The sequence below is a fragment of the Homo sapiens genome, chromosome 8 (genome assembly GCF_000001405.40).
Source record: "Homo sapiens chromosome 8, GRCh38.p14 Primary Assembly".
NCBI lineage: Eukaryota > Metazoa > Chordata > Mammalia > Primates > Hominidae > Homo > Homo sapiens.
The window spans coordinates 76,476,907-76,495,017 of record NC_000008.11 but is presented as its reverse complement, the minus strand read 5'-3'; the positions used below and the strand labels follow the sequence as shown (position 1 = coordinate 76,495,017).

General features: G+C 35.5%; 2 long non-coding RNA genes across 2 annotated transcripts in view; one reads left to right on the top strand and one right to left on the bottom strand.

The window, feature by feature from the left end:
- Window positions 1-11,082, top strand: part of LOC107986952 (uncharacterized) — a 113,744-nt gene extending 102,662 nt beyond the window's left edge. Inside the window, exons 3-4 of the long non-coding RNA XR_001745962.2 lie at window positions 3,787-3,943; window positions 10,943-11,082. This is a non-coding gene — a long non-coding RNA (uncharacterized LOC107986952). The remainder of the gene's footprint in view (window positions 1-3,786; window positions 3,944-10,942) is intronic.
- The window catches only part of LINC01111 (long intergenic non-protein coding RNA 1111), a 117,703-nt gene that overhangs the window by 29,339 nt on the left and 70,253 nt on the right, over window positions 1-18,111 (bottom strand). The gene's annotated exons all lie outside the window — the stretch shown is intronic.

Below are 18,111 nucleotides of genomic sequence, written 5' to 3'. Positions count from 1 at the left end.
AATGAAATTGAAAGAAAAAGTACAAAAGATCGACAAAACTAAAAGTTTTTTTTTAAAAAGATAAACAAAATCAACAAACATTTAGCCAGACTAAGAAAAAAAGAAAAGGCCCAATTAAAGAAAATCAGAGATGAAAAAGGATACAGTATAACTGATACCACAGAAATTCAAAGAATTATTAGAGCCTACTATGAGCAATATATGTCAACAAATTGGAAAACCTAGAAGAAATGGATAAATTTCTAGACTCATACAACCTGCTAAGATTTAACCATGAAGACATCCAAAATATGAACAGATCAATAACATGTAATGAAACCAAAGCTGTAATAAAATGTCTTCCAGCAAGGAAAAGCCTGAGATACAACGACTTTACTGCTGAATTTTACCAGACATTTAAAGAAGAACTAAAATGAATTCTGCTCAAGCTATTCTGAAAAATAGAAGAGGAGAGAATACTTCCAAACTCATTCTATAAGGCCAGTATTATTCTGAAATGAAAACCATACAAAGACACATCAAAAAAAGAAAACTACAGGCCATTATCCCTGTTGGACATTGATCCAAAAACCTCAACAAAATTCTAGCAGACCAAATTCAACAATACATATACAAGATCATTCAGCATGCATAACCAAGTGGGATTTATCCCCGGGATGCAAGGATAATTCAACATATGTAAATCAATCAGTGTGATAGGTCATATCAACAGGATGAAGGATACAAATCATATATTAATTCAATTAATGCTGAAAAAGTATTTTATAAAATTCAACATCCTTTCATGACAAAAACCCTCAAAAAACTGGGTGCAGAAAGAACATACCTCAACACAATAAAACCATATACAATATCCCCACAGGTAGTGTCGTACTGAGTGGGTTAAAACTTAAAGCCTTTCTTCTAAGATTTGTAACAAGACAAGGATGCTGACTTTCACCACTGTTATTCAACCTAGTACTGGAGATCCTGGCTAGAACAATCAGACAAGAGAAAGAAACAACATGCATCCAAATTGGAAAGGAGGAAATCAAATTATTCTTGTTTGCAGATGATATGATCTTATATTTGGAAAAGCCTTAAAACTCCATGAAAAAACTGCTAGAACTGATAAGCAAATTCAGTGAAATTGCAGGATATAAAATCAGCATACAAACGTTTACAGCATTTCTGTATGCCAACAGCAAATAATCTGAAAAGGAAATCGAGAAAGTAATCCAATTTACAATAGCTGCAGATAAAATAAAATACCCGAGAATTAACCAAAGAAGTGAAAGCTCTCTACAGTGAAAACTATAAGACATCGATGGAAGAGATTGAAGAGGACACATGAAAAATGGAAAGATATTCCATACTCATCAGTTGGAAGAATCAGTATTGCTAAAATCTCCATACTACCCAAAGCAGTCTACAGATCAGTGCAATCTCTATCCAAATATTAAGGACATTCTTCACAGAAATAGAAAAAAAATCCTAAAATTTATGTGGAACCACAAAAGACATAGACTAGCCAAAGCCATTCTGAGCAAAAAGAACAAAACTGGAGGAATCATGTTACCTGACTTCAAATTATACTACAGATAAATAGTAGCCAAAACAGCATGATACTAGCATAAAAACAGGCACATATACCAATGGAACAGAATAGAGAGCCCAGAAATAAGTCCATACATCTACAATGAACTCATTTTAAATGATGGTGCCGAGAACATACACTGGGGAAAGGACAGTTTCTTCAATAAATGGTGCTAGAAAAACTGGATATCCATACAAAGGAATGAAACGAGACTCCTCTCTCTCACCATATACAAAAATTAAGTCAAATGAATTAAAGACTTACATCTGAGATCTTAAACTATGAAACTATTAAAATAAAACATTGGGGAAATTCCAGGATGTTGGACTGGACAAAGATTTTTTGAGTAATACCCCATAAGCACAGGCAACCAAGGCAAAAATTGATAAATGGGATCACATCAAGTTGAAAAGCTTCTGCAAGGCAAAGAAAACAATCAACAAAGTGAAGACACAACCCACAGAATGAGAGAAAATATTTGCAAACTATCTATGTGACGAAGGATTAATAACCAGAATATATAAGGAGCTCAAACCACTCTATTTATAAAAGGTAATAAATCTGATTTAAAAATTAGGAAAAGATCTGAACAGACGTTTCTCAAAAGAAGACATACAATGGCAAACAGATATATGAAAAGGTGCTCAACATCATTGATAATCATAGAAATGCAAATCAAAATTGCAGTAAGATACCATCTCATCCCAGACAAAATGGCTTTTTTTTTTTTTTTTTTTTTGAGATAAGAGTCTCAAACTGTTGCTTGGGTTGGAGTGCAGTGGCGAGATCTCGGCTCACTGCAACCTTTGCCTCCTGGGTTCAAGAAATTCTCCTGCCTCAGCCTCCTAAGTAGCTGGGATTACAGTCACCCACCACCACACCCGGCTAATTTTTAGTAGATACGGGGTTTCACTATGTTGGCCAGGCTGGTCTTGAACTCCTGACCTCTTGATCCGCCTGCCTTGGCCTCCCAAAGTGCTGGGATTAAGGCGTAAGCCACAGTGCCCAGCCTCAAAATGGCTTTTATCCAAAGGACAAACACTAACAAATGCTGGCGAAGAGGTGGAGAAAAAGGAACCCTGTACACTGTAGGTGGGAATGTAAATTAGTATAGCCATTATGGAGAACAGTATGAAGGTTCCTCAGAAAACTCAAAATAGAAGTACCCTATGATCCAAAAATCCCTCAGCTGGCTATATCCAGAAGAAAGGAAATCAGAATATCGAAGAGATGTCTGCACTCTGTGTTTATCGCAACACTATTCCCAATAGCCAAGATTCGAAAGCAACCTAAGTGTCCATCAACAGAAGAATGGATAAAGAAAATGTGGTACATATACACAATGAAATACTATTCAGCCCTAAAAAGAATGAGATTCTGTCATTTGCAACAACGTGGATAGAATTGTGTTAAGTGAAATAAACCAGGCACAGAAAGACATTGGTGGGAGCTAAAAATTAAGACAATGGAACTCATGGATATAGAGAGTGCAATAATTGTTACACAGGCTGGGAAAGGTAGTGGGTGAGGGGGCATGTGAGGATGGTTAATGGGTACAAAAATGTAATTAGATAGAATAAATAAAATCTAGTATTTGATAGCACAACAGGGTGATTGCAGTCAACAAAAAATGTTTTGTATATTTAAAAATAACTAAGAGTATAATGGAACGTTTGGAACACAAAGAAATGATAAATTCTTGAGACAATGGGCACTCTCTTTACCCTGTTGTGATTATTGTACATTGTATGTCTTTATCAGTATATCTCATGCACCCCATAAATATATACACCTACTATATACCCATAAAAATTAAAAACCTTTAAAAATTAAAACTTTTGAATTGATTCCCCAATTGCTTCCTCTTTTACCCCACAACTAGAATTCCATTCTTTTTCTCATCTGTTTCTTTTACAACTGTTGGGAGCACTTAGAATACTCTCAGCTTAGTACCTTTGATACTGGGGCAGATACTTTGTAATCCTTTTCTCTCTTATTTCACACCCAGAGCACATTATTTTTATTTCCTTTTCTATTATTTTCAATAATAATAAAATTAAATCAAAAATAATAATCAGAAAAAATGAACAAGAAAAAAGTAACAGATATTTCCAAAGGAGTAAATTCTCTATGGTTTAGAGAATAGTTTGTATGTATTATTAAAATGACAAAACTGAAATAACTCAAGTTCCATTTTTTTTATTTTACAGGTCACTGTACTGTCATTGTTTATTTGAAATCTAAAGGTGTAATGCAAGAATATGCAAGACCACAGGGACTGGAGACACAAAGAGCATCTGAAGAGAGCTTGAATGACTCCCAACAGTTCCAGTCTCAAAGTTACCATGTGCAGCACAGTCAGGGCAGGTCTGTCTAACTGGGCTTCCTTGAATTAACTTCCACATAGAATACATTGTTTATTAAAGAATAAGTATTTTTTTCTAGCTTAAATCTTGCGTGTATATAATATTATTAAATCTCAATGGGAACCTCAGGAATTGTTTTGAAATTAGATCTACCAAAGATGTTTCTCAAGGAGGAGTATTTTATTTTTGAATTGTTTAGAATTGCTGGAACACAGTGATAATAGTAGGGCAAATCATAGCCAATTTGTTATTGTTATTAAATTCTCTGTAGACAATGCACACTCTTGTCTGTACTGGGGAAGACTGCACCGTCTGCTCCACTCTTTGTACACTATGTGTCAGCTTTGACTTAACCATTTTTACTACATTTCTGTATTAGATTCCAAGTTTCAAAGAGAAGGTATATTGTATACTGTCTTCTTCCCTAACCTTATATCCTTTTGCTCCACATTTTATTACAGCCATGATGACCCATTTTACGTCAAATTGATCAGATCATGAAATATCCAAATATTTGGTGAAAAATTATCCTAGGTGTTTCTGTGAGAGTATTTTTGGATGAAATTAACCTTTTAATCAGTAGAGAAAATTGCCCTCCATAATGTGTGCGGGCCTCATCCAATCAGTTGAAGACCCCAAAAGAATAAAAATATTGACTGTCACTTCCCTGAGCAAAATAATTTTCCAACAGACTCCCTTTGGACTTCATCTACACCATTGGCTTTCCTGGGTCTTGAGTGTGCTGGTCCACACTGCAGATTTAGATTGCCAGTCTCCATAATGCATGAGCCAATTATAATAAATCACTTCACACACAAATTCTATTAGTTCTATTTCTCTGGAGTAACAAACAGCTTCTTAAAGGTGCCACTTGACAGAACTTCAGTATAATTGTTCTACGTAGATCTCACTTTCTTGGAACTATGCTAACTCTGTTGTTATTCGTTAAAATATAGACCAGAGGCACACTGATTGACTTGACATATCACAGTACACTAGGCTAGTTCACCATATTGGTGGCATACTAATAGCACCTATTGAAAAGAAGCTAGTAAATATTTTGAATACCTTAACAAGGCATGTAAATGAAAGTGAAGGAGAGATAACCCCATGAAGATCCAAGACCTTGCCAGACTGATAAAATTTTTCTGGACCTTGCTGATATACCCTATAAAATTAAATGGTCATTATAGAAAACGGTATGGAGTTTTCTCAAAAAAATAAAAATAGAACTTCCAAATTATTCAGTAATACAACTACTAGGGATATATCCAAAGAAAATGAAATTAGTATGTCAAAGAGATATCTGTACTACCATGTTCATTGTTGCACTATTCACAATAGCCAAGTTATGGACTCAAACTGACAGTCCATCAATAGATTACACACACACACACATATATATAAATATATATAATATTATATATGTAAAATATTATATAAAAATATATAATATATATATATAATGGAATACTATTCAGCCTTAAAAATGAAGGAGATCCTGTCATTTGCAACAATGTGGATGAACCTGGGGAACATTATATTGAGTTAAACAAGCCAGGCACAGTAGAATGGTGATTACCAGGGGCTGGGAGGTGGGAAGTTGGGAAGATGTTGGGCATGGGATACAAAATTTCAGTTAGACAAAAGGAATAAACTCAAGAAATCTATTGTAACACGTGGTGACTATAGTAAACAAAAATGTATATATAATATCTTGAAAATCACTAAGAGTAGATTTTAAGTGTTCTCACCACAAAAAATGATTAGTATGGAAGGTAAAGTGCATGTTACTTAGCTTGATTGAGCCATTCCACAACATATATATATTTAAGAGCTAACGGTGTATTACAATAAATATGTACAATTTTAATTTGTCAATTTAAGAAATTCATGGAAATGTATGAACTTTGCATCCCCTAAAACTAAGAAAGTAATGGATTATTGATGAGCCTCATTGGATTTTGTAGGCCATATACTGCATATGGTAATTCTGCTCCAGTCTACATACCTGGTGACTACTAGTTTTGAGTGGGACCCATAGGAAGAAAGAACTGTGAAGTAGGTTCAGGCTGAGGTTTAAGCTGCCCTGTCATTTGGATTGTATTACTCAGCAAATTGGATGGTGCTGGAGGTATCCATTGGATGAGGATATTGTGTGGTGTCCCTATCATACCCTAATAGAGTCACAGTGCAAACCATTATAGTTGTGGAGCAAGAGGAGGAAAACGTAGCATTTGGCATATCTTCTGGAATGACACTGGGCCCCACTAAAGACTGAACACCTGACTGTGGACAACAATGGTTTGTCCATAACAAATTGAGTATTATTACATTCTATGAGGCATACATTTGGGTTAGTACAAAAACAATCCATTTCATGATTGAAATGATATATTCAAGAGTGAATCCAAGCAGATCCCAGAGGGTAAAAATAACTTACATGAACAGGTTGCACAGGTTACTATGTCATCTACCTACGTTGCACTGATGCCTCTCTCCTTGAAATTACACATATGAATTCAGGGGCTGGGCAGTGTATTGGATTGGCAGTATCATAGTTCAACATAATGTACTGATGATTACCAATGGTTTCAGTATGTTTTGCTACTATAACAGAATACCCAAGACTGGGTAGAAAGGTTTATTTAGTTCACTGTTCTGCAGGCTGGGATGTTCAAGGACATGGACCTGGCTACTGAGGAGGGCTTTTGTGCTGCATCATAACATGGTAAAGAAGGTCAAAAGAGAGGCAGACATGTGCGAAAAGACAAAACCCAAGGGGCATCCTTACTTTATACAACCCATTTTGGAGGGAACTAATCCATTCTGGCAAGAACTAATTCAGTCTTGAAGAATGAGAACTCACTTACTAATGAGAAAGTGGCACCAAGTCAGTTATGTGGAATCTGCCCCCCTGACCAAAACACCTACTACTGGGCCACACCTCCCAACATCACTATGTTGCAGATCAAATTACAAAAGTTTGAATTTTGGTGGGTATAAACCAAACCATAGTACCAATGAAAAATGGTGTTGCTTCTCTGTAATGAGTGAAGGGACTCAGGAAATTAACTGACACCATTTTTGGTGTTTTCAGGCTTGCAGGGCCAGTGGGAGCAAACATGCCTGACTAGGTAAAGCAACAAAGGCCTCTAACAGTGTTGGAGATGAAAAGCTGAGTCATAATACCAGGCAAGTCATACCACTTGACCTGTTTAAATGCTGGCCAAGAGTGAGATCAATCTAGAACATGTGGTAAAGAAAGGAGATTATGAGTATCAATTACGGCCTCAAGATCAGTTGCAACAGCAAAGACCTCATTCCACTCGTCCTCCTATATTTTCTTTTGGAGAGATTGGGGCTAGCCACCACCTTGATGTTTTGGGGCTTAAGGTCATGAATTATCTAAAAGCTACACATGACTGTATTGGGTGACTCTTGAGGTCCACCTCTCAACTTCTATATTGCTCTAGCCCAGAGATTCTCGAAATGTAATCCCTGAACCAGCAGCCTCAGCATCACCCTGCCTCTATCCCCCGGTGATTCTGATGCACTCTGAAGTTTGAAAACTACTGCTGTAGCCATTTCTGTGCCAATTGACATCAAGCAGGTGTAATTTGCCAGGACATTATTTGAGCATCTATTACATTTTTGGTTCCCTAATGGCAGTGTTTATATACTGGTTTGGCAGAAAGATCCATGGCACCATGCATCTTATCTGGGGTTCCCTAGTTATAGGGACTTCCTAATGATGTGGTAACAGAATAATAGGAGTAGGATTAAGATGATGGATTTCAAGGTTTAAATAATATGCAGATATCTATAATAATGTCAGGCATTTTGAAATAACATGAGGAATTTTTTTTAAGTTTTATTTTTTTCTGGTGGAAGCTAGAGTTCAAGCATAGTTCTGGGGTAGAAAGGTGAGAATCAAACGCTCCCACTAACAACTTTACACCATTTGAACATTCTTCTCCCATTTTAATTCTCCTGATAATGAAAACAGTTCAATCTCTGATCATCTATATCATTTAAAAGATGACAATTTATCTAGATAAGCAGGCCATTTGTTTCATGGATGACTATTTTCTTTTAATAATTAGCACCAAACAATTATGCCATAACTCTTAAGATGGAGACAGTGACTTTGCTACAAAATGGTTGTCTTAACCAAAAATCACAGTAAAATAGAGAAGTAATGAAAAATAGCATTTGACATATATTTTAATAAAATTTGTGGCCAAATACAGCAACAAAATTATTCTTTTTCTCAATTTTCAAGTTGCGCCGTAAGTACTTTACATTCAAGGCAAATCACTCTCCCCATAGCAAGCAATGATGACCTGAAAGATGTGTTGTCCCACTTGAGAAGATCCCTTAAGAGCAGCACAACTGTCATTACAGGCAACCTGAAGACTCTCAGTATGTTCTACATTAGAGAATATCAGTTATGTATTAATTAAAGCTATATATAGAGAACAAGATTACCTAATTAGGTTAACTGTATTCCAAGATCAACTTTCACTGAAGGAGAGGTATCACCTGGAATTTTTACAAAGTTATTTAATTCTCCATTTGTTTGTTTAGGTATGAAGTAAAGGAAAGAATCAGATCTGTGATGACATTTCCATCTCTTTTTGCAAAACAAAAGAAATCATTGAACATATATTTTATAGTAAACTTCCATTGGACAGCATAGGTATTTGTACTAATTAATTTTTATTATTCTCTACCACATAAGTAAATCACTTATTTTCATAAGTGAGGTAATCTGTGATAATATTACTTACAAGTTTCTTATAATCATTATATTATTTGTGGTTTCTAATGAAAACATATGGTAGGTTAAAAAAGAGTTTTGGATGTGCTGGGTTAAGTTTTGGGTCTTGATTTAAAAGAAAATTATAAAGTTGAAAATTTTAAGAAGCTAAAATCATAAGATTGTTTCTTTTTAGGGGAAACTAATGGAATTACAATTACAATGTCATAGGAAAATTTATGTCTTTTTGACTCTATAAATAAAAGAAGCTAAAAGTTAGTAATCTCAATTAAAGTTGAAGAAATGAGCATATGATACAGCACAATAAATGTGAGATATAAACCCTGATATTATATTCATTTGCAATAAAAATATAAACCTTTCAAATATATATTCATTGATTGCCTACTAAGTAAAGCTACACACAGTGAATATACGATGGGGTTTTGCCTACAGGTAACATATTTTCAAATGGAAATATACTTATAAGTATACTTATAAGTATATTATGAGTAAAAAAGGAACGCATAATACATTAGAGGTGTCAAGAAAAAATATTTTCTAGACTAGAACTTATGTCTCTTTTAATGCTGTTAAGCTCAGTGCTTCTCAAAACACTTGGGTCACAGTAGATCTTCAAGTGATATTTGTTTTGATAACGAGTGAAAAAATGTGATATGGTTTGTCTTTATGCCCCCACCCAAATCTTATCTTGAATTGTAATCTCATAATTCCAAAGTGTTTAGGGAGGGACCCTGTGGGAGGTAACTGAATCATGGAGTTGGTTCCCCCAATGCTGCTCTTGTGATAGTAAGTGAGTTCTCATGAGATCTCATGGTTTTATAAGAGGCTTCTCCCTTCGCTAGGTTCTCATTTTCTCTCCTGTCACCCTGTGAAGAGGTGCCTTCCACCATGACTGTAAGTTTTCTGAGGCCTCCCCAGCTATGCAGAACTGAGCCAATTAAACCTCTTTTCTTTATAAATTACCCAGTCTTGGATATTTCTTCATGGTAGCATGAGAATGAACTAATATAGAATGAATTAAAGACTTATTTTGGAAAAAGTGGTTTATAATGATCTAGCAGTTGTTAACACCTCTTCAAGATATGAGATAGTTAATATAGGAAATATTTTATGTGCTCAATAAAGTTCATGTTACTACAAGTACTAGCTTTAAAACTATCAAAATGAGGGTAATGACAATCCATTGGAAACCTTTCTTTTTTTTTTTTTTTTCCCAGCATTTTTTCCTCTATTTCCTCTCCATTTCCTCGGGCCCACACCTTTTCTAACTGCCAGTATACCAAAACTTCCCTTTAATAAATTATTTAAGAAGGAATGTTACTATTTTGCTCTTAAAATTTTTCATTCTGGATTACAAAGGATGTAGAGTTTTTTTTCCTAAAGAGCCAAGTGGTCATAACTATTTAAATTAGGTGAGGGGTTCCCGTGTTTTCCTGTTTTCTCTACTTGTGATAAATTTGAAAATTTAAATTATATAATTTTATGAGAAATATTAGACAAAGGAGATAGGACTAGCTGCCTAAATAGTGTGCATATAATGTATCAATTACAAATGTGTAAAGTGATGGTTGAATTTATTTTTTTCTTTTAGTTCACAAGTATTAATCAATTAGAATTTATTTTTTTCTTTTAGTTCACAAGTATTAATCAATTAGGACCATTGTGGGCATACAAACATATTCTATGTTGACTTTGTCTAATATTTTTTAACTATCATTGGAATAGTTTCTTATAAAACATATCTATCATTGGAATAGTTTCTTATAAAACATATCTAAGTAAAAGTTATAACCATGCTTTTGTTGTTATTGAAAAATAATAAATACATGTAAGTGTAAAACAAAATATTATTCATATTTTTTAAATAAAAATTATAGAATAAAGAAGAGAAAAAACTTTTTATAACTTAGTGTTATCAACATTTTAGATTTATCTGCAAATATAGATTAGGTTTACAAGAAGAGATATTAATACTTTCATTGTAGGAGCATAATATTACTAATATAAACAGTATATTGCTTGCTATGGACTGAATTGTGCCTCCCCACAATTCATATGTTGAAACCCTATCCCTCAATGTGGTTCTATTTTGAGATGGGGCCTTTGGCAGGTAATTACCTTTAGGTGAGATCATGATGGTAAAAGGTCCTCATAATGGGATTAGTGCCCTTATCAGAAAAGATCAAAGAGCTTGCACTCCTTCTCTCTTTCTAGCATGTGAGAAGAACAACAAGAAAGCTGGGGTCTGCCAGAGAAGACGGAAGCCCTCACATTAAACTGAGTCAGCTGGCATCTTGATCTTGGACTTTCAAATCTCCAGAACTGTGAGAAATAAATGTTAGTTGTTTAAACCACCCAGTCTATGGTATTTTGTTATAGCAGCCCAAGCAGACCAAGACACTACTTTTCTACTTTTAAAAAATTTACACTTTCTGCAGGTTAGCAGTCAGCTGAATATTGATAAAGAAAGAGTATATCATTTCAAAAATAAAAAATTGGTTTGGCAACATACATTTAACTTTTTATAAAATGGGAATATGACCCAAGTAACATGTGTTATCAGCCTAAGATGTATTTATTTTGTCATCAATGTAGTGCTAAGTAATAGTTTTAGTAATATACGTTCAAAAATCTAGAATTAAACTTTCTACACACTGGAGCAGTCCTGTACATTTTGGAAGACATTTAGGGTCAGTGTCTTTGAAATATTAAGGCAGTTTCATTTATAACTTGAAATGTCAGTTCCCATTGATTTATAGCCTTTCCCACAGATTAAAGATTAATGATTTCCAGGCATGAGAACATAGGAAAATTCTCTCTTCTTTTGTCTTCAATGTTGCCTCTTTTGGAGGAAAGCCCTTAATGTTTGGTTGGTTTCCAATAAAAATCAAAAGGAGACAGAATCTGGCATGACAGTTGGTGGCCTGGTCATTGTTAAGAACCATGAAGGGTCTGAGATTTTATCCTACTTATCCACTAACAAGTTAATCTGCTGTGGATTCATAGAAGCTGGCAGAAGACTTGAGACTCCAGGATCAGAGACAAAGGATTTTATTCCTGACAGCAATAACAGCATCCACAGTCTCAGCCTTTGTTCCAGTTCCTTCAACTCCAGTTCCCAAAAGTCAAAGCAAGCAGGGTCAGGTGATACCTGTGAACACAGTGGGTTGTGTTCCAGGAGAGCAGTCTGAGTTTGGGGAAGCCAAATCTTTTATAAGAGGCAGTAAGCCTGCCTAATCTTGGCCCCAGAAAGAGACATCGTTATCATTATATCAGACAGTGAACAGAGTGATCCTTTGTTTCTGAGAGAAACACTAGCTCTACTTTGCACCTATTTGTTATCCAACTATCCCTGCAAAGGTATTCCAGAGCAGACAGTCCGTGCTTCTACTCACAAGAAGTACACAAATGCTAGAGACCCATTGCAAATTTTCTCCTCACAGAGATAAAATAAAAACATTAAGATAAAAAAAGAGTTTATAAAAATAACCAAACACACACACTATATATCAGGCAATGGACTAGGCTCTAGGGAAGACCACAAACATCCTTCCTCCTCAGAAAGTTCACATTTTTCTCAGAGAGGCAGAAATAAGCTTAACACAAGGCAAACGTTCACAGGCCATCACAAGAGAGAAAAGAACGTACTACGTGTGGAAAAAAATTTTGCCTAGGAAAATGAGGAAGGTGTCAAAAAATTTAGCAATTGCTATGTACTTAATGATGAGTAGGGTTTTTTATACTTAGAGAAAAAATGAATGAAACCATTCTGGGGAAATAAAAGATGAAATTTAATAGTGCTTTTTTTGGAAAAAGCGAGTAGGATGGCATGGTGAAGAGAAGCAGAAGATGACACTATTTTAATGTAACTTAGAGCTAGATTGTGGAAGTTTCTCAGTTTTATACATCAACAATTCACAATTGGGGTGTGTGGGGTTTTCAGATTTGAAATGGAGATTATAGGGAAAGGAAATAAAAGAAATTTAGTTGCTTAGAGGAAAACATTTCTATGCAGAGATTCTCATGTCTTTTTATATTTTCCGTTTGCAAGTTGAAAATAAGCTTTCATTTATTTATTTATTTATTTTAATTTTTTTGAGATGGAGTCTCACTCTGTCGCCAGGCTGGAGTGCAGTGGTGTGATCTTGGCTCACTGCAGTCTCTGCCTCCTAGGTTCAAGCAATTCTTCTGCATCAGCCTCCCAAGTAGCTGGGACTACAGATGTGCTCCACCATGCCCAGCTATTTTTCTTATTTTTAGTGGAGACGGGGTTTCACCATGTTGGCCAGGATGGTCTCAATCTCTTGACCTTGTGATCCGCCCACTTCGGCCTCCCAAAGTGCTGGGATTACAGGCGTGAGCCACCACGCCCGGCCTGAAAATAAGCTTTTAAAATTATTTAAGGCATTCTTTAAGCAATGGAGAATCATCTATGATTTTTATGCAGGACCAGATCTGTGGATTTTAAATAGTCATTAGTTTTAATGGGAAGGGACTAAAGAAGGGAGACGGTGGAATCTTGTAGACAATTTGGAATCTTCTTCAATAGATTAAAGTGGATGAACCAAACAATGAAAATTTACATAAAATAAAAATGTCTTCATGTGGGGAGATGATAAGGAGAACTATTTTGCTTTGTAGCATACTATAATGAGTCACAATTAATATAATGTTTTTGTTTTAAACATTTTTTCCTTCTTGCTAGAAATAGGTTCATCCATAATATTTATTCACTAGTGATTTCTGTAGAATTTTAAATATATAAGCTAAATCTCACATACAAACATTCACTTTCTTCTTCATTGTCCACAGCCTAAGCAAGGCCACCATTTGCTCAGGCTTGACAATGGCTTATCCACAACTGAACTTCTCTCCATTTGCCCTGGTTCAAGCAAAACTCAACCTAACATTTAAAACACTAATAAGTGTATGTCATTCCTGTGCTGAAAACTGCTCTATGGTTTCTCATTGCTCTTAGAATAAAGGTAAACATCTTTAAAATGGGTGCATGATTTCTCTCTATCCAGATTTATAACCTCATCTCAGGCCATTCAGCTTCTTAGTAAAATGAATTAAAGGCACCAGTGGTTTTCTTGCCAATCTCTGAAGTGCGCTATGTTTCTTGGGGCTCTCAGCCTCCCTCATTCGCTTTTCCTTCAGCTAGAAGGCTGTCCTGTCTTTACCTCCTGCTAATTCCTACTCTTTTGCCCCCCAGCTCACTTCCTCAGGGAGATCTTCCCCAATCTTCTTCTCAATCTTTATTTGTTACTCCTGTTTTAAAACCTTTACCTTTCTGTAATAACTCATACTAAAATTGAAATTTTCAATTACTTATGTGAGTATTTATTTGTTGCCTGGTAAATCCAGCCTCACTTTCTACCCTACCTTACCCCAAAGCCACTAAAGCTAAACGTGTGATAGAGAAAACAGCTACATCTGCTATATCCCTAGACCTTGCATTATACTTGGCACATGCTGAGTGTTCAGTAGTGTTTGGAATGAACATGGTCAAAGTGTATCTTAAGAAGATCAGTCTGGCTATCATTTGACTGATCAATGGGGGCAGATAGTATTGGAGGTAACGGAGGTGAGCTGGAAGGCTAAAGTGAAGAGTGATGAGAGAGGCTCTAGGATATTGATACAAGATGGTGTTAAGTAAAAAAAAAATGATGCAACGATCACCTCCAAGCACACCAACAAGTAAGCTGTCCCAGAGGTTATGGAATAGAAAGACTCACAGTGGAAACTGAATCACCACTTCATTAAGTCCATTTTAAACCACACAAGAAGACAATTACAGAGCCTGTTATTGGTCTGTTCAGAGATTCAACTTCTTCCTGGTTTAGTCTTGGGAGGGTGTATGTGTCGAGGAATTTATCCATTTCTTCCAGATTTTCTAGTTTATTTGCGTAGAGGTGTTTGTAGTATTCTCTGATGGTAGTTTGTATTTCTGTGGGATCAGTGGTGATATCCCCTTTATCATTTTTTATTGCGTCTATTTGATTCTTCTCTCTTTTATTCTTTATTAGTCTTGCTAGCGGTCTATCAATTTTGTTGATCCTTTCAAAAAACCGCTCCTGGATTCATTAATTTTTTGCGGCACTATTCACAATAGCAAAGACTTGGAACCAACCCAAATGTCCAACAATGATAGACTGGATTAAGAAAATGTGGCACATATACACCACGGAATACTATGCAGCCATAAAAAATGATGAGTTCATGTCCTTTGTAGGGACATGGATGAAATTGGAAATTATCATACTCAGTAAACTATCGCAAGAACAAAAAACCAAACACCGCATATTCTCACTCATAGGTGGGAATTGAACAATGAGAACACATGGACACAGGAAGGGGAACATCACACTCTGGGGACTGTTGTGGGATGGGAGGAGTGGGGAGGGATAGCATTAGGAGATATACCTAGTGCTAAATGACGAGTTAATGGGTGCAGCACACCAGCATGGCACATGTATACATATGTAACTAACCTGCACATTGTGCACATGTACCCTAAAACTTAAAGTATAATAGTAATAAAATAAAAAATAAAAAATAAAGAAACCATGCAGGCCAGATGGAAATGGCACAATATATTTCAAGTGATGAGTGAAATATATTTTCACCATCTTCCAAATCCTATTGCCCAGCAATATATACCCTATATCTGGCAAAACCATTTTTCGGGCTTGAAAAGGAAATAAAGGTATTTTAAGAAAAGATAAAAAAAAAAAGAAGAACTATGGGGAAAGTGATACAATAAAATAACACATTTAGAATAGGGAGAAAGTTGAGTAAAGAAGCACACAATTGAATTTTTGGGGTATTCAATATTTTTATATCTTCTCTCTCTCTCTCTCTCTCTCTCTTCCTCTTTCTCTCTCATTCTTCCACATCAGTCTCCCTTGCTGATGGTGAACCATGGACAGAAGGTGCCCTGAATCAATAGCAGACACTACCTCTATCAAAGATACTGAAAGATAAGTATGTGCAGTTAGTTGCAGTTTGCCAATTAGTTTGATGAACATTCAGGAATTTCATATGTGTTCCTTGGTTGATGGTCACATGCATCAGAATGGTTTTAATCAATAGGTGACTAAATTAAGATCTCATGACTATTAGGTATTATGTATATTTAGCACATTTTGAATATTTTAGTGCCTCTTTCAGGCTTAGTCTCAAGTGCCTGAGGAATATTCAGTATCTTGTGGTCCTGCCATTCCTCTCTATGTTTAATACATATGTACTTGACTTGCTAATTACTTCTCTTATGCTTTATATGTTGTATACTTAACTTACCCTTAACATATTGAATGAATTCTGCCCATGCCTTACCAGCTTTAGCTTACTGGCTTCATATTTGTACTTGAAACATATTAAACATTTTGCCTATGATTTATATTTGATGCTTATGTAATAGAGTTGAATGTTCTCGATGGAAATGTACATTATGAAAGTGAGATAGAGTCATTTGCATACTGATTGAGCTGGAAAGTTAGCAAGATATTCTGATAAATAGGTTTGGGAGTGAGGGTGAAGAAGACAAAGATGTCAAAAATATTTCTTGTGTTTCCAACTTGAGCATTTGCATAAAACTTACTGAGTTAGATAATATAGGGATTGAGATAACGGTAGTTGAAACCATAATTGTGGGTGAGTGCTCCCAGGGAAAGCTGTGAAGGGAACCTTGAGAAAACCAAAAGTCAAGGAGTCAGTGGGAAGTATTTAATATAAATGAGACAGAGAAGAAAATGTCAGAATAGCTAGGGGATACCAGGAGAATGCCCTTCTATTGAAGCCAAAAGGCCGAAGTCCTTTAAAAAAAAAAAAAAAGAGTGCTCTATCGTATTCAACATCAAAATTAGGTCCAGGGCCAAAGACTTTAACAGACAACTCTGAATATATATATATGAAAGTTATGTAAACATGTAAGAAGATGCTCCACATCATATGTCATCAGGAAATGCAAACTAAAACAATAATGAGATATCACTACATACCTATTAGAATAGTTAAAACTCAAAACACCGGCAATAATGTATGTTGGTGAAGATATGGAGCAACAGGAAATCTCATTCATTTCTAGTGGGAATGTGAAATGTTATAGCCACTTTGGAAGACAGTTTGACAATTTCTGACAAAACTAAATATGTTATTTTCATACAATCCAGCAATGGCACTCCCTGGTATTTACCCAAATAAGTTGAAAACTTATGTCCACACAAAATCCTGCACATAGTTGTATATAGCAGCTTTAGTCAAAATTTTCAAAACTTGAAAGCAACCAAAATGTTTTTTAGTAGGCAAATGGATAGATCAACTGTAAACAGTTGATTTCAGACAACAGAATATTATTAAGCACTAAAAAGAAATGAGCTATGAAGCCATGAAAAGACATGCAGGAAATTTAAATGCATGTTTCTAGGTAAAAGGCGCCACTTTTTAAGAGCTATCTACTGTATAATTTCAGCTACTTGACATTCTGTAAAAGGCAAAACTAGGAAGATCATAAAAAGTACCAGTGGTTTCTAGGGATTAGAAGGAAAAGAGGAAGAAATAGGTGGGGAATAGAGGATTTTTAGACAGTGAAACTACTCTGTATTATACTACAATGATGAATGTATGTCTTTAAGAATTTATCCAAACTCATAGAATGTACAACACCTAGAGTGACTCTAATGTAAACTGTGGACTTTGGGTGACCAGAAAAATTAGGTCAAGTTTACCTGGACCAAAAAGAAAGTGCTCAATAGGTTGTGTGGTAGGATGACTTATGGTGGGATTAGCCAATGTTTTATTCTTATAGAATTCTTTCTTCCTTTTTCTACATGCCAATGCTATGTATCGTTCCTAGTCTTAGCAAGTTTTTTTTTTTTTTTTTTTTTTTGAAAGCCTAGATCACGGTAGATACCATAGATAAGAGCAAAAGTGAGGAAGTCTTTTGAGGACAAGGAGACAATGAGAACATGTCCACCATATTCATAAAAGGGGAAAGTGGGTGAGTCCCTCAGTAGACACACCCTGCTCCCTGCCTTGTTTGGTGTCCTGTGGAAATCCTACACTTTAGAATGAATGAACTCAGAGATGCTGAACCCTAGGTACAGGATTCTTATTCTCAAAAATGATGTCTTGGTCCCAGGAGTAAATGATTTCAAAGCATCAGCAAATCTGCGCTAAAAATCTCCATGTCAGCTTGAACATGAAATTGCTTGTCTCTAACTAGTGTCACAGAAGACTTTAAAGGTCTCTTCAACGCAAGGTCCTGGAGGATCTTGCAAGATGGGGATTGATTATCTTAAGAGCTGAGTAAGATATGGCTTATAACTAGAATTAGGTTGATTTAAAGAATCAATGTATTAAATTAAATTTTGATATATTTC